This window comes from Homo sapiens, chromosome 12, assembly GCF_000001405.40.
Source record: "Homo sapiens chromosome 12, GRCh38.p14 Primary Assembly".
Classification (NCBI taxonomy): domain Eukaryota; kingdom Metazoa; phylum Chordata; class Mammalia; order Primates; family Hominidae; genus Homo; species Homo sapiens.
The window spans coordinates 7919017-7939932 of record NC_000012.12 but is presented as its reverse complement, the minus strand read 5'-3'; the positions used below and the strand labels follow the sequence as shown (position 1 = coordinate 7939932).

The 20916-nt window shown below is 44.6% G+C and overlaps 1 protein-coding gene across 1 annotated transcript, besides 3 other annotated features; it reads left to right on the top strand.

Annotated features, from left to right (window-relative positions):
* Window positions 1372-1719: a transcriptional cis regulatory region, noted in NCBI's record as "candidate enhancer chr12.441 targeted for multiplex CRISPR interference". NCBI's record gives its function as "positively regulates SLC2A3 gene expression with high confidence in K562 cells {active_cell/tissue: K562}" and the evidence as "EXISTENCE:mutant phenotype evidence [ECO:0000015][PMID:30612741]".
* Window positions 3568-3617: a silencer, noted in NCBI's record as "silent region_4205". NCBI's record gives its function as "represses an Ori minimal core promoter by ATAC-STARR-seq in GM12878 lymphoblastoid cells {active_cell/tissue: GM12878}" and the evidence as "EXISTENCE:reporter gene assay evidence [ECO:0000049][PMID:35858748]".
* Window positions 3746-20703, top strand: SLC2A3 (solute carrier family 2 member 3). Its single transcript, NM_006931.3, has 10 exons — window positions 3746-3913; window positions 6031-6123; window positions 6786-6946; window positions 8448-8688; window positions 9291-9453; window positions 10062-10249; window positions 13985-14089; window positions 15422-15523; window positions 16909-17112; window positions 18302-20703. Exons 1-10 carry the CDS (start codon window positions 3899-3901, stop codon window positions 18518-18520), a joined length of 1491 nt encoding a protein of 496 aa, NP_008862.1. The 5' UTR covers window positions 3746-3898; the 3' UTR covers window positions 18521-20703.
* Window positions 4685-5638: an enhancer, noted in NCBI's record as "H3K27ac hESC enhancer chr12:8086891-8087844 (GRCh37/hg19 assembly coordinates)". NCBI's record gives its function as "activates a minimal SCP1, AML or CMV promoter by ChIP-STARR-seq in naive H9 embryonic stem cells {active_cell/tissue: H9 hESC(naive)}" and the evidence as "EXISTENCE:reporter gene assay evidence [ECO:0000049][PMID:30033119]".
* Window positions 20704-20916: the final 213 nt, after the last annotated feature.

Genomic DNA, 20916 nt, shown 5'->3' with positions numbered 1-20916 from the left:
AGGTCCCACTTGCTCAAGGAATACTTGTCTCAATATGCTCAACACACTTTTTTTTTTCTTTTTTGAGGCAGGGTCTCACTCTGTTGCCCAGACTGCATAGCTCACTGCAGCTTCTACCTCCTGGGCTCAAGTGATCCTCCCACCTCAGCCTCCCAAGTAGCTGGGTCTATAGGCACCTGCCATTACCACGTCCAGCTAATTTTTTTTTTTTTTTTTTTTTTTGTAGAGAAGGGGTCTCACTGTGTTGCCCAGGCTGGTCTCAAACACCTAGGTTCAAGTGATCCTTCCACCTCAACCTCCCAAAATGCTGGGATTATAGATGTGAGCCACTGTGCCCAGGTCAACACATTTGTAGATTCTCAAGACTCGGCTGAATTCCAATTGTAACCTTTAAAAATATATATGGCCAGGGCCGGGCGAGCTGGCTCACACCTGTAATCCCAGCACTTTTTTTTTTTTGGAGATGGGGTTTCCCTCTTGTCACCCAGGCTAGAGTGCAATTGCCCACGGCAACCTCCGCCTCCTGGGTTCAAACGATTCTCCTGCCTCAGCCTCCCCAGTAGCTGGGATTACAGGCTCCCGCCTCCACGCCCAGCTAATTTTTGTATTTTTAATAGAGACAGGGTTTCACCACATTGGCCAGGCTGGTCTCGAACTCGTGACCTCAGGTGATCTGCCCGCCTCAGTCTCCCAAAGTGCTGGGATTACAGGCATGAGCCACTGCGCCCAGCCAATCCCAGAACTTTGGAAGGCTGAGGTGGGGGGATCACGAGATCAAGAGATCGCCGGGCGCGGTGGCTCACGCCTGTAATCCCAGCACTTTGGGATGCCAAGGCGGGATGATCACGAGGTCAGGAGATGGAGACCACGGTGAAACCCCGTCTCTACTAAAAATACAAAAAATTAGCCGGGCACGGTGGCAAGCGCCTGTAGTCGCAGCTACTCGGGAGGCTAAGGCAAGAGAATGGCGTGAACCCGGGAGGTGGAGCTTGCAGTAAGCCGAGATCGCGCCACTGCACTCCAGCCTGGGCAACAGAGCAAGACTCTGTCTAAAAAAAAAAAAAAAAAAGAGAGATCAAGAGATCAAGACCACCCTGGTGTACGACTGGGCTAGGCGGCCAGGCTTGGCTGTATGCAATTTGCCTGCATGCAACGCTCGATATGCAACTTAAAATATTTTCCTGATAAACACAACTTTGTTGTTTTGGTGGGGCTACATATCCCTTTAATTTGTAAATTTAAAATATACAATATGTTTCAAAGACTTAGTACAAAAAAGTAAACTATTAATTTTTATATTGAATGCATGCTGAAATGACAATGTTTTGGATATATTGGGTTAAATAAAATAATTATGAAAAAAATTTATCTTGTTTCTTTTAAAATTTTTAGTGTGGCTACTAGAAACCATAATGTGACATGCTCATATTATATTTCTATTGGACAGCACTGCCCTTTGGGATATCCTTTTTCCTTTAGATACTAAATTCAGTTGCTGTGGTGACTAAAGGGGCCTCTGGCTCAGCATTTCCTGGAAGGCAATGGTGAGATGGGGGAGGGGAGTTGTCATCAAATCAGATTTTAACAATATCCTCGTTAAAGCAAAGGAAGCAACAGTAATCTAGTTTTCTCGGGTCCAGCAGTATCAATTTGAATTCTAGGCCCTCAACCAAAACCCTAAAGGAAGATACACTTTCTCCAATTCACCACTGGGAAAAAGTTTATCTCTTTACCAAGCGTCCTTCACCCACCCTGCCACCTCCAGTACTGAAAGGGTTGCAAGCTACAAATGAATGGGCATTAGGAATTTGATAGTTGATATTCCTCCTCCAAAAAAGCCTAGATACTATCTCTCACTTACCCAGCTGTTTAAACACAAACCAAGTTGTTTTGCTTTGTTTACTCTCAACCTGGAACCACTCTTCTCTCTCCCCGATTATCCCTCCCTCAGTTCTCATTCCTATTTTCTTCTCCTGCTTAGCTTGTTCAGTTTTCTTGTATAGCTTAGTAATCAGATACTTATGTAACACTTTTCTTTCAAGAAACTCACAGTCCATAACTAATAGGATATTAATAATCTTTTCCAGTTATGTGAGAATTACTTGCCCTAGTCCCTTTTTATACTTTATAAAAAGGGAAGAAGGGAAACACTATAAATGACTTGTGGGTCAGAACTCTTTTGTCCTATTATTCTTTTTTTTTTTTTTTTTTGAGACGGATTCTTGCTCTGTCGCCCAGGCTGGAGTGCAGTGGCGCTGTCTTGGCTCACTGCAAGCTCCGCCTGCCGCGTTCACGCCATTCTCCTGTCTCAGCCTCCCGAGTAGCTGGGACTGCAGGCGCCCGCCACCATGCCCGGCTAATTTTTTTTTTTTTTTTTTTTTTTTTTGTATTTTTAGTAGAGAATGGTTTCACCGTGTTAGCCAGGATGGTCTTGATCTCCTGACCTCGTGATCCGCCCACCTCGGCCTCCCAAAGTGCTGGGATTACAGGCGTGAGCCACCGCGCCCGGCCTTTTTTTCTATTATTCACTGAAGAATCACCAGCTTCTTGGAGAGTACCTGATACATAGCGTGTATTCGGCAAATACCTGCTTAATTGAATTCGGTATTTATTGCATTTCTAGATGCTATAAGCTTGAGACTAGCAGAAAGTGATGCAGAATTCAGAATGGGTGATATGGCAAATGCCTTATTAAATATAGGGCTCGGCGCGGTGGCTCACACTTGTAATCCCAGCACTTTGGGAGGCCAAGGCGGGCAGATCACAAGGTCAGGAGTTTGAGACCAGCCTGGCCAATATGGTGAAACCCCGTCTTTACTAAAAATACAAAAATTAGCGGGGCGTGGTGGCGGGCGCCTATAGTCCCAGCTACTCGGGAGGCTGAGGCAGGAGAATTGCTTGAACCCGGGAGGCGGAGGTTGCAGTGAGCCGAGATCGCACCACTGCACTCCAGCCTGGGCGACAGAGAGAGACTCCATATCAAAAAAAAAAAAAAAAAAAAAAAAAGGATATGGATTGTATTCCATAAACAGTTGAACCTCTTATTCCTACTGCCCTGATAGTTGGTCTGGCTCCTAGAAATTCAGATTTTCTTCCCTCCAGGTGAGATTATGCGAAGAAAGGAACACTGGCAAAATTATTTCCCTGATTTTCTTCTCTCAGGCTGTCTTTCCCTCCCCTTTAAGATTGTGTACTCCGTCTCAAAAAAAAAAGAAAAAAAAAAGATTGTAGACCCAGCCTATAAATTCATAGGATCAAGAATTCTTACTAACACTCTTTCTAACAACCTTAAATCTCTGATAGTAGCACCCACTTGACTTCGTTTTGTATGGATAGATTTATTCTAATCTCTCTGTAGATTGTTTTAATCCCAAGCAGATGCGAGAGCATAAAATAGTGTATTTGCCCTCCCTCCAGGCTTTTCTGGTAGTATTTTGTCTGTGAAACTAAGAGGCTCTAGCTGCTATTAGAAGAGGGAAGGAGTAAGGATGAGCTTTTGAAAAAAAAAAAAAAAAAAAAACCCAGGGTGGAGAGAGTGGAAGGATGTGGTTTTAAGAGAGGGGGGAGGGAGGGCGTTATTGTCTGTGGGGCGGGGGCGGGGGTAGTTCTGATAACACAGAATTCCGAGAGATCACAAGATTGCTTCAGGGGGGTGGGGTGGGGTGGGGTGGGGCTGGGGGCTTGTCGCCCTTTCAGGCTCCACCCTTTGCGGAGATTATAAATAGTCATGATCCCAGCGAGACCCAGAGATGCTGTAATGGTAAGACTTTGGATCCTTCCTGAGGACGTGGAGAAAACTTGCTGCTGAGAAGGACATTTTGAAGGTTTTGTTGGCTGAAAAAGCTGTTTCTGGAATCACCCCTAGATCTTTCTTGAAGACTTGAATTAGATTACAGCGATGGGGACACAGAAGGTAAGAATGATATAATTACTGGTTATTTTTGCTTGTTTGGGATACACTCAGAAAGGCAAATATTAATGGTAATCTCCTTGTTCTATTTTCTCCTAAGTCACCAAGCTATCTTAAGGCCTTTTCATTTCGTCTCTAGCCTGCACTGCTGCCGCTTCATCAGTTCTCTTTGAATGTCATACAGTTCTGTTCACCTTATCATAGGAAAGTCACCCGGAGAAGTTGTGTTTGCTTCTCAGGTTTATTTTAGGTAACCATATGCCACTGAGGACGAGATGGTTGAGTGTTTAGAGGATCGGGCTGCTTGGTTGTATGGATTACAAGTGTGGGTCTCAGAGCCAGTGTGAAGACTTCTCTGGAAGCATTAGACCTTGAAAAGGTCTGTGTTTGGAGGCACAGGCCAGGGTCTGGCCATCTGTTTGTCCTATAACATATGGGGTTCGTGGATGCTAAGGAGAAAGAATTCCAGTTGTCCTTCCTATTAGGGTTAAAATCGTGAGTGCAGGACATACTAAAATATTGAGTGTTGTATATGCATTATTTGCAGGGAGAAAGGCTTTTCTTTTTTTTCTGATTGAGTTTTACTCTTGTTGCCCAGGCTGGAGTGCAATGGAGCGACCGCAGCTCACCACAGCCTCCGCCTCCCGGGTTCAAGCGATTCTCCTGCCTCAGCCTCCTGAGTAGCTGAGATTACAGGCATGAACCACCGGGCCCGGCTAATTTTGTATTTTTAGTAGAGACGGGGTTTCTCTATGTTGGTCAGGCTGGTCTCGACTCCCGACCTCAGGCGATCCGCCGGCCTCGGCCTCCCAAGGTGCTGAGATTACAGGCATGAGCCACTGCGCGCAGCAAGAAAGGCATTTTTTACCAAGATAAATTTAACTAAAAATAAGGGGCCAGGTGTGGTGGGTCACACCTATAACCCCAGCATTTGGGAAACCAAGGCAGGAGGATCACATGAGGCCTGGAGTTTGAGACTAGCCTTGGGCAATATAGTGAGATCCCATCTCTACAAAGCAGAAAGAAAGAAAATGTAGGAAAATAAGAAAGGGATGGAAAATTATGAGACTAAAGAAGAAAAGGCTCTCAAAGATAGTGAATGATGAGAGGAGACAGAAGAGATTTTTACTAAACGGAAAAAGATTTAACAGAGCATTGCACTGGCAGGGCCCTCCGGGGTACCGATGCTTAGCTGGGACTGAGACATCTGGGAGGCTGCAGGCAAGGTCACTTCTCCTGCTGAAGCTCCCAGCCTGCTGCCTAATCTGCCCGACCTGAAAGGAAAGGAGTTTAAGATATGAAAGGTTGAAGGGATTTTGGGTGGTGGGGTGGGGGGGAATGGCGTAGAAGTTGGCCTCAGGTATAAAAATTGAGCTGCCCCAAGGTAGAAATGGAAAATGTCTCGCCCGGCTGAATTATTCCAGGCAAGGTGAAGATGACCGGTTCTCCCCACTAAGAAATGTCTCTTATATGTTGGGTTCGCCCTTATATGTTGGGTTCAGAGTAAGTACTTTCTTCCCCTGCGCGGGAGTTAGGGATAGCAGAACTGTATTTAATAAACGAAGACTGAAATGGGGCCAGGATGCAGTGAGTAGATCCAGTAGGTTACATGGTCCTGAGAGATAAGAGACTCAAAGAGCCACCCAGCAGTGAAGACACAAACTACCACCCCCTCCACCACCACCAGTGGGCTTCCGTGGAGTCTGGGGTACAGATCAGACTGCACTGTATTTGTTTCCAGAATGGTCAATTCTTAGTAATCCTACCCGAGACTGTCTTTTTCTCTGCCCTCCCAGTTCGTGAGTGGAATTCTATGCCTACATTTGCCTGATGCAAGTTTTTAAATATTTCCAAACTGACCAACCCAGTTTCTCTTAACTTCTTCCTTCCCCAATTTTCTTTCATTTTTACCAAGTTAACTTCACATTCTTATCTCCAGATAAGTTCTTTAGTATAATCTATTCCTTTGTCTTCCCCATTAATTACCTAAATCTCATTGGATGTTCTTTTCATACCACTCATAACTCAAATTCTCCTAATACAGCTCCATAATTAATAAGAAACAGTCATCAATCACAAGTTTTAAGGACTATTCTCTCCTCTGTCTTCCCTCCCTCCAGGTCACCCCAGCTCTGATATTTGCCATCACAGTTGCTACAATCGGCTCTTTCCAATTTGGCTACAACACTGGGGTCATCAATGCTCCTGAGAAGGTGAGTGCCAGGCCACAATAATTAGAATTTAGAATAGGGAAGTTATTCCTTTAAGTAGGGTTTCAGGAATTCAGAATTTAAGGCCAGGCATGGTGGCATCTGCCTGGAGTCCCAGCTACTCCTGAGGCTGAGGCTTAAAGATCACTTGAGTCCAGGAGTTAAACACCATCCTGAGCAACACAGTTAGTGAGGGTCCCTCCCCAAACTAGGGGATTTTAAGACAAACTTTGTATCTATCCTGTCCAAGACTGAAGATGGAGACAATATTGGTGGGGAAAATTAGTGGGGTCATCTAATCGAAGCACAAAGCTCACTTACTCCCGGAACGCTGGGCGGTGCTGTTCTTCCTCCCACTCTTTCACCTCATAGTGATGCACATCCTGTATTATCCCTTAGGGGTTAGTTACAAAGAAGCTGGGTTCCCTTAGCAGAGGGCTGGGGTAGACTGTGAACATCGGTGCTGCCACCTACTGGGATTTTCAGGACAAATAGAATTACTATTCCAGCGAGAGTTAACATAAATTCCAATACGTTATCTGCCCCTTCCATTCCTGTCTATTTATTCCCTTGATTCTCTAGGAAGGAAATGATCCCTAATGTTTGTCTTTTGTTCTCATCCAACTGTAACAGTCTGTTCTTCCACCAACCCTTTTATTTTGCAGATCATAAAGGAATTTATCAATAAAACTTTGACGGACAAGGGAAATGCCCCACCCTCTGAGGTGCTGCTCACGTCTCTCTGGTCCTTGTCTGTGGCCATATTTTCCGTCGGGGGTATGATCGGCTCCTTTTCCGTCGGACTCTTCGTCAACCGCTTTGGCAGGTATTGACTAGAAACTGGGCAAGGAAGTGGGCTCTACCAGCCACATTGAGGACAAGTGTGGAGAGTTAGGGCAGGGAGGTGATGATGCCTTTGAATAAGAACACCTTGAATTCTAATCAAGGGAAACCTAGTCCAACTGGCCCCGAATATGACTGCCCTTGCTTGGAGCTCTACTACCCTGGAGAGCTCCCACCCAGCTGTGCAAGAGATGAACTGTGAGTGATTGGCCTTTGCAGTCCAGCTAGGGATAGTTCAGAATTATTCCCTAGTAAACTCAACTATGGGGTTTCTAGAAACATACTTAATTTACAAGGTCCGAAGTTGTTTACTTGTATTATAAATGTTTTTATTATTTTACCCAGGATTGGTAGGAATTATTTTTGTCTATGGCAAATGTGGATAATGACAAAAAAAAAGTCTTATTCTATAGAAGCTTAACAATATGTTTTAGAAGGTAGAATATATTTTCATTTATGACTAATGAAGGAACTGTTTTAATTTGCCAATTAGGCACGGTGTGGTGGCTCACCCCTGTAATCCTAGCACTTTGGGAAACCGAGGCAAGTGGATCAGCTGAGGTCAGGAGTTCGAGACCAGCCTGGCCAACATGGCAAAACCCTGTCTCTACCAAAAATACAAAAATTAGCCGGGCGTAGTGACAGGCACCTATAATTCCAGCTACTCCGGAGGCTGAGGCAGGAAAATCACTTGAACCTGCAGTGGGGGTGCAGAGGGTGCAGTAAGCTGAGATCTGGCCACTTCACACCAGCCTGGGCGAAAGAGCAAAACCCCGTCTCAAAAAAAAAAAAGCCGGTGCCGTGGCTCACGCCTGTAATCCCAGCACTTTGGGAGGCTGAGGCGGGCAGATAACAAGGTCAGGAGATCGAGACCATCCTGGCTAACACGGTGAAACCCTGTCCCTACTAAAAATACAAAAAATTAGCCGGGCGTGGTGGCATGCGCCTGCAATCCCAGCTGCTTGGAAGCTGAGGCAGGAGAATCTCTTGAGCCTGGGAGGCGCAGGTTGCAGTGAGCCGAGATCCTGCCACTGCACTCCAGCCTGGGTGACAGACCAAGACTCCGTCTCCAAAAAAAAAAAAAAAAAATGCCAATTAGATATTCTAGAAATGCAATTGGAATTCACATTTAAAAATCGGTAAAGCAACCTGTTTTACTTGATTATGTTGTTCTTTTGTTTTTTTACCCCCCAAGAAAGAGGGTCTTGCTCTGTCACCCGGGCTGGAGTGTAATGGCCCAATCATAGCTCACTACAGCTTCGACCTCCGACCTCAGCTCCCTGAGTGCCTGGGACTACAGGCGGGCACCATCACACCTGGTTCCCAACTAGAAATGTTCTGATAATAGAAAGTGAAAAACAAAAGTTAGATTAAAAAAAAAAGGGATGATATGAGCCTGGAGAAGAACAGAATAATGAGGACAGAGGAGAAGTTAGGAGCCTCTCACTTTGCTAATTCTACTTTGTCTTTGATTAACCTTACAGGCGCAATTCAATGCTGATTGTCAACCTGTTGGCTGTCACTGGTGGCTGCTTTATGGGACTGTGTAAAGTAGCTAAGTCGGTTGAAATGCTGATCCTGGGTCGCTTGGTTATTGGCCTCTTCTGCGGACTCTGCACAGGTTTTGTGCCCATGTACATTGGAGAGATCTCGCCTACTGCCCTGCGGGGTGCCTTTGGCACTCTCAACCAGCTGGGCATCGTTGTTGGAATTCTGGTGGCCCAGGTACTCTAGAACTTCTCATACTTAATGAGTGTTAGTTTCATGGGTCATTAAAAAAGTTAACATAGGTAAAGCACTGAAGAATATCTGGCACATGTTCAATTACATATGGAAGTTTTAGATAATAGATAGTAGCTGAAGAAGCAGGCTGAGGCCGGGCGCTGTGGCTCACGCCTGTAATCCCAGCACTTTGGGAGGCCGAGGTGGGCAGATCACGAGGTCAGCAGATGAAGACCAGCCTGGCTAACATGGTGAAACCCCATCTCTACTAAAAACACAAAAAATTGGTCGGGCGTGGTAGCGGGCACCTGTAGTCCCAGCTACTCCGGAGGCTGAGGCGGGAGAATGGCGTGAACCCGGTAGGCAGAGTTTGCAGTGAGCCGAGATTGTGCCACTGATCTCCAGCCTGGGTGACAGAGCAAGACTCCGTCTCAAAAAAAAAAAAAAAAAAAAAACCATGCTGAGTAGAGAAAGGAAAAGAAACACAATTTGTTTATTTTTTCACATGGTAAAAGAATGTATGATTTTCTGAACTTTTTGTGTTTTAATGAACTTGTGGCCTGTGAAGTATGGGGTTTATAGCATTATCTTTGTGTGGTTTCTAGATCTTTGGTCTGGAATTCATCCTTGGGTCTGAAGAGCTATGGCCGCTGCTACTGGGTTTTACCATCCTTCCTGCTATCCTACAAAGTGCAGCCCTTCCATTTTGCCCTGAAAGTCCCAGATTTTTGCTCATTAACAGAAAAGAAGAGGAGAATGCTAAGCAGAGTGAGTATCCTTCACACCTTACTACATGAATTATATGGTTGTGGTTTGTTTTAGGGATGATTGTACTGGACCTACTTTCTGTTACACTCTTTCCCTGCCTCTCAGAATCCAAGTGAGGAGGGTTCTGATTACTCCTGAGTAAAATTTTCAGCCCCTAAAGAATGAGGTGAAAAGGCGGGTTTAGGAATGGATGCTATCAGGCAGGGTGTGATGGCTCATGCCTGTAATCCAGCATTATAAGAGGCCGAGGCGGGTCACCTGAGGTCAGGAGTTCAAGACCTGCCTGAAACAACATGGAGAAACCCTGTCTCTACTAAAAATACAAAATTAGCCGGGCATGGGGGCGCATGCCTGTAATCCCAGCTACTTGGGAGGCTGAGGCAGGAGAATCGTGTGAACCCGGGAAGTGGAGGTTGCAGGGAGCTGAGATCATGCCATTGCACTCCAGCCTGGGCAACAAAAGTGAAACTCTGTCTCAAAAAAAAAAAAAGGAATGGATGCTACCCATCACCTCACCTCGTGCGGCCCTTTCCTGGCTGCCTTACAGGAAGAATGAATTTGGGGCAGCACATTCTCTTTTATCCTTTCCTCTTTCTTCTTTTCACCAGTCCTCCAGCGGTTGTGGGGCACCCAGGATGTATCCCAAGACATCCAGGAGATGAAAGATGAGAGTGCAAGGATGTCACAAGAAAAGCAAGTCACCGTGCTAGAGCTCTTTAGAGTGTCCAGCTACCGACAGCCCATCATCATTTCCATTGTGCTCCAGCTCTCTCAGCAGCTCTCTGGGATCAATGCTGTGAGTGTGATACTTTAGGGTCAAACGTGTCTTAAAGTATTTCACTTAAAATGCCGGGCATGGTGGCGGTGTGCCTCTGTAGTCCCAGCTACTCAGGAGGCTGAGGTAAGAGGATCACTTGAGCTCAGGAGTTTCAGGTTGCAGTGAGCTATAATTATGCCACTGCATTCCAGCCTGGGAGACAGAGTGAGACTGTGTCTCTGAAATTTAAAAAAAGGAAAAAAAAAAAAGACCCTGGAAGGACACTGGCAACTTCAGAGTGAACTGACTTTACCAGTCTGTTTTTACAACTAGTATAGCGAGCATGGTAGTTTAAAGAGGGCATGATAGATGATAGTTTAAAGAGGGCGGCACAACGGAAGCTAGCATTTGGCAGGTAGCCCTTGTATTCCATGCAAATATCAGCTTCCTGCATTTGACTGTGGATTGTAGGAAGAGAGTATTCCTGTGCCTTCTAGTCAATATGGATATTAAGAGCACCCTTGTCCCACCTTTTTAAATACTGATTCATCCCCTAAGGGTTTTCAGATAGTCTTTGATCAATGGGATTAAATTATTTTGTAACAAAGCATTTTGCAAAACTTACTATTTTGAGCATTTTGATGCTCAAAATAGTAAGTTGGTTCTTGGAACTTTTCTCCTACCTAGCACACCAGGATATTTGTATTTGAAGTGGCAGTGCTTCTTATGAGGGGTTAGAGGCTGTTATGTCAGAATCTATGAGGAGCCAAGTGTGGTGGCTGCTCATGCCTGTAGTCCCAGCTACTACTCGGGAGGCTGAGGTGGGAATATCACTTAGGCCCAGGAGTCAAGCCTGGGAAATATAGTATGACCCTGTCTTTAAAAAAAAAACTTGGGAGGAAATACACAGTAGTTAGAAAAAGCCTCCTAGGTGATTTTGATGAATCCCAGTCTCAAATTTCTTCATTTGGAAATGATAATGTAGGCCACACGTATTACTGGAGAAAAATGTGCTCCCGAGACTTTCCAGAGCAGCAGAGCTGGGACTAGGCAGGTGAGGCAGCTACGTGCAAGTGTAGCCCTGAGAATGAGCACCTCTTTAAAGAATGTACCTTGCGTTAGTTCTGTGCCTGTTTAAAAAAAGAAAAAAGAAAGAATGAAAGAATGCACCTGAGGCAACTCCCTAGCTGCCTCACCACAGTCCAGGCCCTGCAAAACAGGATCAGTAAAAGATCACCTGTGAGAAATGACAAGTGATCCGTGAGCAGTCTGAGGGACAGACTCCTGCCATTTCAGAGTATGGTGTGTACATTCTTTTTTTTTTTGAAACAGAGTCTCACTCGATCGCCCAGGCTGGAGTACAGTGGCACGATCTCGGCTCACTGCAACCTCCACCTCCTGGGTTCAAGCGATTCTCCTGCCTCAGCCTCCCGAGTAGCTGGGACTACAGGCGTGTGCCACCATGCCTGGCTAATTTTTGTATTTTTAGTAGAGAACAGGTTTCACCATGTTGGCCAGGATGGTCTCGATCTCTTGACCTCATGATCCGCCTGCCACGGCCTTCCTAAATGCTGGGATTATAGGCGTGAGCCACTGCGCCTGGCCCATCCTTTTTTTGAGGTGAAGTCTTGTTCTGTCACCCAGGCTGGAGTGCTGTGGCGCAATCTCAGCTCACCACAACCTCCATCTCCTGGGTTCAAATGATTCTCCTGCCTCAGACTCCCGAGATTACAGGTGGGATTACAGCCCAGATTACAGGTGCCCACCACCATACCTTGCTTATTTTTTCGTATTTTTAGTAGAGAATAGAGGGATATCACCATGTTGGCCAGGCTGGTCTCAAACTCCTGACCTCAGGTGATCCACCCACCTCAGCTCTCTCTCCTAAAGTGCCGGCCTTACAGGTGTGACCCACCTCGCCCGGCATGTACATTAATTATTGTTGGACTAAGCTGGCTCCCAATTTAGTCAATGAGTAGATTTTGCGCTAGGTATAATCTCACCCAAAGCTGGCTGCATCAGAATTATGGGGGTTGGGATTCCTGAGTCAGCTGAATTTGAGAATCTCTGTGTAAGAGACCTGAAAGTTGTCTGTAAAAAAATAAATCTGATGCACAGCAGGCTTGGAAATCACTTTTCCAACCTACTTTGCACAAATGATGATTTCTAATTTCCCTTATGGGCAGATGGGTAAGAGGTTGCATTGTATCATGTTTACCTAGCAGAGTAAACTATTTAGGTGAGATGATGTAGGGGTTACCTTGCTTGGTGACACTAGATAGCAAAGTCATTTTACTATGAGAAATTTTATTGAGATGAGTACATGTACATTAGGTTTTTGACGTGTAGACATTATGTTAAGGAAAAGAATTGGCATACCTATTTATTGCTTGTTTAAACTGCTCAAGTAATTACTTTTGCACTAGCCTAATATATTTCCCCACAAGCTTGACGCCATCATATAATATGTTGAGATTTCTTAACAGTGTTAATTAGCCCTAGAGCAGCAGGTTTTTCAATAATGACTCTACAAATCTCAGTTTCAAAACACAATTATCTTATTTTAGAAAATATGAATATACATAGTTTACATCTTACGTACTAGGGATTTAAAGAGTTGTTTCGTGAGAAGGTAAATCCCAATGTAGAGGTCCATATTCATAAAAAAGACTAATAAATATTGCTATGGAGGCAAATACTCTGGGTGAAATAAACTGAAGTGAACCTCGGTAACCTAGATAATGTTCCCTTGTTAACTTGAGGTCTGAGTCCAGTATTTTAATATCTCTTAACTATGGTAGTTATAGCAACTTTAGATTTTAGCACAGTGCCTAGCAAACAACATAATAATTTATTTAATATATATTAAATTGCATTAGTAGCTGGTATTATTTCATAAAACACTTCAAAAGGGCCTAGGCCTAGGAAATACAGCCCAACCTCTGCTTATTCAATGAGCAGGATAAGGTTATTCAATTAGTTCACTATCAAATTGAGACATCGATGTCCCTATCAATGTTTTGAGAGTTTGGGGAAGAGCCAATTAAAAAAGCATTTAGCTGGGCCTGATGGCACATGCCTATAATCCCAGCAACTTGGGAGGCTGAGAGGCAGGAGGATCACTTGAGACCAAGAGTTTAGGACCAGCCTGGGCAACAGTGAGTTGCTGTCTCAACTTATAAAAAAGAAACCAGTTAGTAGGAATTACACCTTTATGTAAGTTAGTGAAGTGGACATAAGCAAGAGGAAATGGAACAGTGGGAATAAGCATTTTTAGAAGAAACAATGTAAATGAGTAGCTAGAATTAAGAACATTTAGAGAGAGAAAGGAGGGCCAGGTGCGGTGGCTCATGCCTGTAATCCTAGCACTTTGGGAGGCCAAGGCGAGCAGGTCACTTGAGGTCAGGAGTACGAGACCAGCCTGGCCAACAAGGTGAAAACCCATCTCTACTTAAACTACAAAAATTAGCTGCGTGTGGTTGCAGGCACCTGTAGTCCAGCTACTCAGGAGGCTGAGGCAGGAGAATCGCTTGAATCTGGGAGGTGGAGGTAGCAGTGAGCTGAGATTGTGCCACTGCACTCCTGCCTGGGTGACAGATCCAGACTAGGAGATAAGATACAGAAGATAATTCATTTGCAGAAGGGATATTAGTATTGAACGAAAACCTAGAAAAAGGACTTCTTACCCACTGGGACTTTTAAGTTTATTTTTGAGGGTTCTGTGTAACTGGTGTGCAGAATTGCATCAAAGCTGCATGTTTTCTTTTCTCCTAGGTGTTCTATTACTCAACAGGAATCTTCAAGGATGCAGGTGTTCAAGAGCCCATCTATGCCACCATCGGCGCGGGTGTGGTTAATACTATCTTCACTGTAGTTTCTGTAAGTTGGATGGTTTGGTAATTTTGAGGGGAGAAAAGAATCCTTGCTACAGATGTTCAAAGATGGATTGCATGACCCTACCATCATTTAGTTACCTTTTTGTTGCTTAATTTTCCTTTGGGAAAAAGAGATAAATTTAATGTTGGATGTAGTCTTCACTCTTCAAGCAAATATGGGATGGATGGGAAAGGAGGGAGTATAGAAGGGACTATATAGTATGCTTTGAACTTGGAATTGGAGGAAAGGTGCTTGGAAAAACTCTCAAGCTCTGTTACTCCACTGTTTTTACACTAAAACAACAATAATCAACAGAAGTTATCTGTGATCCCCAGAATATGTGAGAATTTTTCCCCGTGAGGTGTGCAATCAGTTCCGTAGTGGACACCATCTAGGTGTCCTGCGATTTTTTAATTATGACACTGTCTACCTGGAGATAGCATCAGATCTCACAGGTTGGTGGCCCAGTTCCCAAGACTGCCCCCCACTCCTGATGCCAGTCACAAGCTCCAGGTTGTTTTACCTGTGCTTCTGACTCACCAGCTGTAGATCAGGATTCCCACGACATCCTCTTTGGGTTTGATTAATTTGCTACAGTGGCTCACAAAACTCAGGAAAATTGTTTCCTAGTTTGATTTAAAGGATATTTTAAAGCACAGAAATACACAACCAGATGAAGAGATTCACGGGGCGAGGTCTGGAGGGATCCTGAGCATGGGAGCTTCTGTCTCTGTGGGGTTGGGGTGCACTCCTAGCACATAGATGAGTTGTTGCTGACCTTCCTGTCAGCTTCCACGGGTTCAGATATCTGGAAGCTCCCCATACCCTGCCTTTTGGGCCTTTTATGCAGACTTAATTGGTTCTCCATGATTGAAGCATGGACAACTGTTCTGACCTGTGATTGGACAAAAAGGGAATGATCTGAACCCAGCTGGGCCTGTCTGCTTAGATGATTTGTTGGCCTCTCTGTAGCGTTTCTTCCTCTAGGGTGTGGGGCAGGACCCTCTCTGAAATGAGGGTTTTATGACCCACAGTCAGATTAGCGTCCTGCCAAGTGGGAGGGCAGGAGAAAGTCAGAGAAGAATTCTGTTATCTGAGGCCTGCTCCTGAGGCCTGAAGCATCCCAACATTATGACAAAAGACTCTACCAAGGGCTATGGGGATTTTGAGCCAGGACCTGTGAATGGCACACAATATGTATGTATATAAAATCATAAATCACAGGAGGGGTATCCATAACAAGTGTCCTGCTGTTGGTAAGGCAGATTTCAAGTAGCTCAGATGCTGTTTTCATGGAAAGGAAAACTGAAGTTTCATGTCATATTCTTCTTCCAGCTATTTCTGGTGGAAAGGGCAGGAAGAAGGACTCTGCATATGATAGGCCTTGGAGGGATGGCTTTTTGTTCCACGCTCATGACTGTTTCTTTGTTATTAAAGGTAGGTGCTCTTTGGGTGAAAAAAAAGGGAGGGGGAAAGAAGAGAGGTTACAGTTGACTTCTGTGACACAAGGGGTGGGTTGTTAAGGTTGCAGTTTGTCAATAAAGTCAGAGGAGAGAAGCAGGATGCCCAGAGTTTAAGAAACATGGGTCGTCAGAGAACTGGAGGTAAACTGTTAGAATCCTTACATTTATAGAACATTATTATAGCTTATAAAATAAATTATCTAATTTAATTCTTAGAATAATATCAAGGTAATCACACTTAATAGATGATGACATGGTCTCAGTACAAAGTGACATATATGAGATCATATAGATGGGATTGAAAAATTCAATCCTCAGCTGGGCGCGGTGGCTCACGCCTGTAATCCCAGCACACTGGGAGGGTGAGGCAGGCGGATCACCTGATGTCGAGAGTTCAAGACCAGCCTGACCAACATGGAGAAACCCCGTCTCTATTAAAAATAGAAAATTAGCCAGGAGTGGTGGTGCATGCCTCTAATGTCAGCTACTTGGGAGGCTGAGGCAGGAGAATTGCTTGAACCCAGGAGGCAGAGGTTGTGGTAAGTTGAGATGGTGCCATTGCACTCCAGCCTGAGCGACAAGAGCGAAACTCTCTCTCAAAAAAAAAAAAAAAAATCCAATCCTGGCTGGGCGCAGTGGTTCATGCCTGTCATCACAACACTTTGGAAGGCCAAGGTTAGAGGATTGCTTGAGCCCAGAAGTTCAAGACCAGCCTACGCAACATGGCAAGAAACTTTCTCTACAAAAAAACAAAAAAAAATTTTTTTTTTGAGACAGGGTTTCACTCTGTCACCAGGCTGGAGAGCAGTGGCAGGATCTCAGCTCACTGCAACCTCTGCCTCCTGGGCTTAAGTGTTTCTGCTGCCTCAGCCTCCCAGGTAGCTGGGATTATAGGCACGTGCCACCACGCTCAGCTAATTTTTGTACTTCTTAGTAGAGACTGTGTTTCACCATGTTAGCCAGGCTGGTCTCCAACTCTTGACCTCAGATAATCCACCTGCCTTGGCGTGAGCCACAGCTCCTGGCCAAAAAAAAAATTTTTTTTTAATTAGGCAGGTGTGGTGGCACATGCTTCAAGTCCAAGCGATTTGAGAGGCTGAGGTGGGAGGATTGCTTATGCCCAGGAGATCGATGATGCAGTGAGCTATTGTAGTGCCACTGCCCTCCAGCATGGGCAACAGAGTAAGACCCTGTCTCAAAAAATAAAAATAAAAATAAATCCAAGCCTTTTGACTCCACAGCCACTCTTTGTATTGTACGTCAGGGACAGGAGGAGCTTGCCGTTAATTGCTTCTGGGAACCTAGATACTAGGTTACACTGTCTTTAAATTTAATTTTCTCTGTTCCTTGCTCTTACAGGATAACTATAATGGGATGAGCTTTGTCTGTATTGGGGCTATCTTGGTCTTTGTAGCCTTCTTTGAAATTGGACCAGGCCCCATTCCCTGGTTTATTGTGGCCGAACTCTTCAGCCAGGGCCCCCGCCCAGCTGCGATGGCAGTGGCCGGCTGCTCCAACTGGACCTCCAACTTCCTAGTCGGATTGCTCTTCCCCTCCGCTGCTGTAAGTAAACTCACCTTATCTTAAAACCAGCCTATGTAAGCTGACATGAAGATACTCCTTAATAATACAGTAGTCTGGGCCTGGCATGGTGGCTCATGCCTGTAATCCTAGCACTGTGGGAGGCTGAGGCGGGTGGATCACCTGAGGTCAGGAGTTCAAGACCAGCCTGGCCAACATGGTGAAATTCAAAAATTAGCTGGGCATGGTGGTGCATGCCTGTAATTCCAGCTACTTGGGAGATCGAGGAAGGAGAATCGCTTAAACCTGGGAGGTGGAGGTTGCAGCGAGCTGAGATCGCGTTACTGCACTCTAGCCTGCTCGATGGAAGCAAGACTCCATCCCTAAATAAATAAAAAAATACAGCAGTCCCTCCTCTTCTTCAGTTTCAGTTACCTGTAGTCTAAAAATATTAAATGGAAAATTGCAGAAATAAATAATTCATAAAGTTTAATTTGCGGCCAGACACAGTGGCTCAAGCCTGTAATTCCAGCACTTTGAGAGGCCTAGGCGGGTGGATAACTTGAGGTCAGGAGTTGGGGACCAACCTGACTATCATGGTGAAACCCTGTTTCTACAATAAATACAAAAATTAGGCCGGGTGTCGTGGCTCATGACTGTAATCCCAGTGAGCGAGATCACACCATTGCGGTAGCACACACCTGTAGTCCTAGCTACTCAGAAGACTGAGGCAAGAGAATCACTTAAACCCAGGAGGTGTTCATGGTGAGCTGTGATCAACCTTCTGCTCTCCAGCCTGGGTGACAGAGCGAGATTCCGTCTCAAAAAAAAAAAAATTCATAAATAGAGATGGAGTTGCCCAGGTTAGTCTCAAACTGCTGGGTTCCAGTGATCCTCCCACCTTGACCTCCCAAAGTGCTGGGATTATGGGCGTGAGCCACCGCACTCGGCCCAGAAACACAGATTTTAAAAATAATACTCAAAAGTCCAAAAATACTCAGTAGACATTTGGAAGCATCTAACTGTAATGAAATGGAATGACAGAAAGAAAACTAGAGAGAACTACAGTAAGTTAGCAATGGAATCATAAGCGAATCTGAAGAAACCTGTTTTCATTAAATATGGAAGGGTTATAGCTTGAAGCCTATTGGAAATATGAATGTGAAGGAAATTGACTTTGTCAATGACCAGATTTTTATATCAACCTTCCTTTTTTCTGTCCTTTCTCTAGCACTATTTAGGAGCCTACGTTTTTATTATCTTCACCGGCTTCCTCATTACCTTCTTGGCTTTTACCTTCTTCAAAGTCCCTGAGACCCGTGGCAGGACTTTTGAGGATATCACACGGGCCTTTGAAGGGCAGGCACACGGTGCAGATAGATCTGGAAAGGACGGCGTCATGGAGATGAACAGCATCGAGCCTGCTAAGGAGACCACCACCAATGTCTAAGTCGTGCCTCCTTCCACCTCCCTCCCGGCATGGGAAAGCCACCTCTCCCTCAACAAGGGAGAGACCTCATCAGGATGAACCCAGGACGCTTCTGAATGCTGCTACTTAATTCCTTTCTCATCCCACGCACTCCATGAGCACCCCAAGGCTGCGGTTTGTTGGATCTTCAATGGCTTTTTAAATTTTATTTCCTGGACATCCTCTTCTGCTTAGGAGAGACCGAGTGAACCTACCTTCATTTCAGGAGGGATTGGCCGCTTGGCACATGACAACTTTGCCAGCTTTTCCTCCCTTGGGTTCTGATATTGCCGCACTAGGGGATATAGGAGAGGAAAAGTAAGGTGCAGTTCCCCCAACCTCAGACTTACCAGGAAGCAGATACATATGAGTGTGGAAGCCGGAGGGTGTTTATGTAAGAGCACCTTCCTCACTTCCATACAGCTCTACGTGGCAAATTAACTTGAGTTTTATTTATTTTATCCTCTGGTTTAATTACATAATTTTTTTTTTTTAACTTTAAGTTTCAGGATACATGTGCCGAATGTGCAGGTTTGTTACATAGGTATATATATGCCATGATGGAAATATTTATTTTTTTAAGCGTAATTTTGCCAAATAATAAAAACAGAAGGAAATTGAGATTAGAGGGAGGTGTTTAAAGAGAGGTTATAGAGTAGAAGATTTGATGCTGGAGAGGTTAAGGTGCAATAAGAATTTAGGGAGAAATGTTGTTCATTATTGGAGGGTAAATGATGTGGTGCCTGAGGTCTGTACGTTACCTCTTAACAATTTCTGTCCTTCAGATGGAAACTCTTTAACTTCTCGTAAAAGTCATATACCTATATAATAAAGCTACTGATTTCCTTTGGAGCTTTTTTCTTTAAGATAATAGTTTACATGTAGTAGTACTTGAAATCTAGGATTATTAACTAATATGGGCATTGTAGTTAATGATGGTTGATGGGTTCTAATTTTGGATGGAGTCCAGGGAAGAGAAAGTGATTTCTAGAAAGCCTGTTCCCCTCACTGGATGAAATAACTCCTTCTTGTAGTAGTCTCATTACTTTTGAAGTAATCCCGCCACCTATCTCGTGGGAGAGCCATCCAAATAAGAAACCTAAAATAATTGGTTCTTGGTAGAGATTCATTATTTTTCCACTTTGTTCTTTAGGAGATTTTAGGTGTTGATTTTCTGTTGTATTTTAACTCATACCTTTAAAGGAATTCCCCAAAGAATGTTTATAGCAAACTTGGAATTTGTAACCTCAGCTCTGGGAGAGGATTTTTTTCTGAGCGATTATTATCTAAAGTGTGTTGTTGCTTTAGGCTCACGGCACGCTTGCGTATGTCTGTTACCATGTCACTGTGGTCCTATGCCGAATGCCCTCAGGGGACTTGAATCTTTCCAATAAACCAGGTTTAGACAGTATGAGTCAATGTGCAGTGTAGCCCACACTTGAGAGGATGAATGTATGTGCACTGTCACTTTGCTCTGGGTGGAAGTACGTTATTGTTGACTTATTTTCTCTGTGTTTGTTCCTACAGCCCCTTTTTCATATGTTGCTCAGTCTCCCTTTCCCTTCTTGGTGCTTACACATCTCAGACCCTTTAGCCAAACCCTTGTCAGTGACAGTATTTTGGTTCTTAGTTCTCACTGTTCCCTCTGCTCCTGGAGCCTTTGAATAAAAATGCACGTAGCTGAGGCCGGATGCGGTGGCTCACGCCTGTAATCCCAGCACTTTGGGAGGCCTAGGCGGGCGGTCAGGGGTTCGAGACCAGTCTGGCCAACATCGTGAAACCCTGTCTCTACTAAAAATGCAAAAATTAGCCGGGCGTGGTGGCGGGCGCCTGTAATCCCAGCTACTTGGGAAGCTGAGGCGGGAGAATCATGTGAACCCGGGACGCAGGGGTTGCAGTGAGCGGAGATCGCATCATTGCACTCTAGCCTGGGCCACAGGGCGAGACTCCGTCTCAAAAAAAAAAAAATGCACATAGCTATCAAGTGTGCTTTAGCTTGAAAAGGTGACCTTGCAACTTCATGTCAACTTCTGGCTCCTCAAACAGTAGGTTGGCAGTAAGGCAGGGTCCCATTTCTCACTGAGAAGATTGTGAATATTTCCATATGGATTTTCTATTGTTACTCTGGTTCTTTGTTTTAAAATAAAAATTCTGAATGTACACGACATTATGGGCTTATTTACTTTTTGTCCTTCCTGTAACCACAAAATGAGCTCTAAATCCTGACTTGGCTACTCAGTGCCTGTTGACTTTGAGACTTGTATGAGACCCTCATACTCATGAGACTGTGTTCTTAGAGTCTCATACATAAGAGAATAGCAATATGTGTTTATTATGTAGATTAAATGAAAAAGCTTTCGTGGCCAGGCGCGGTGGCT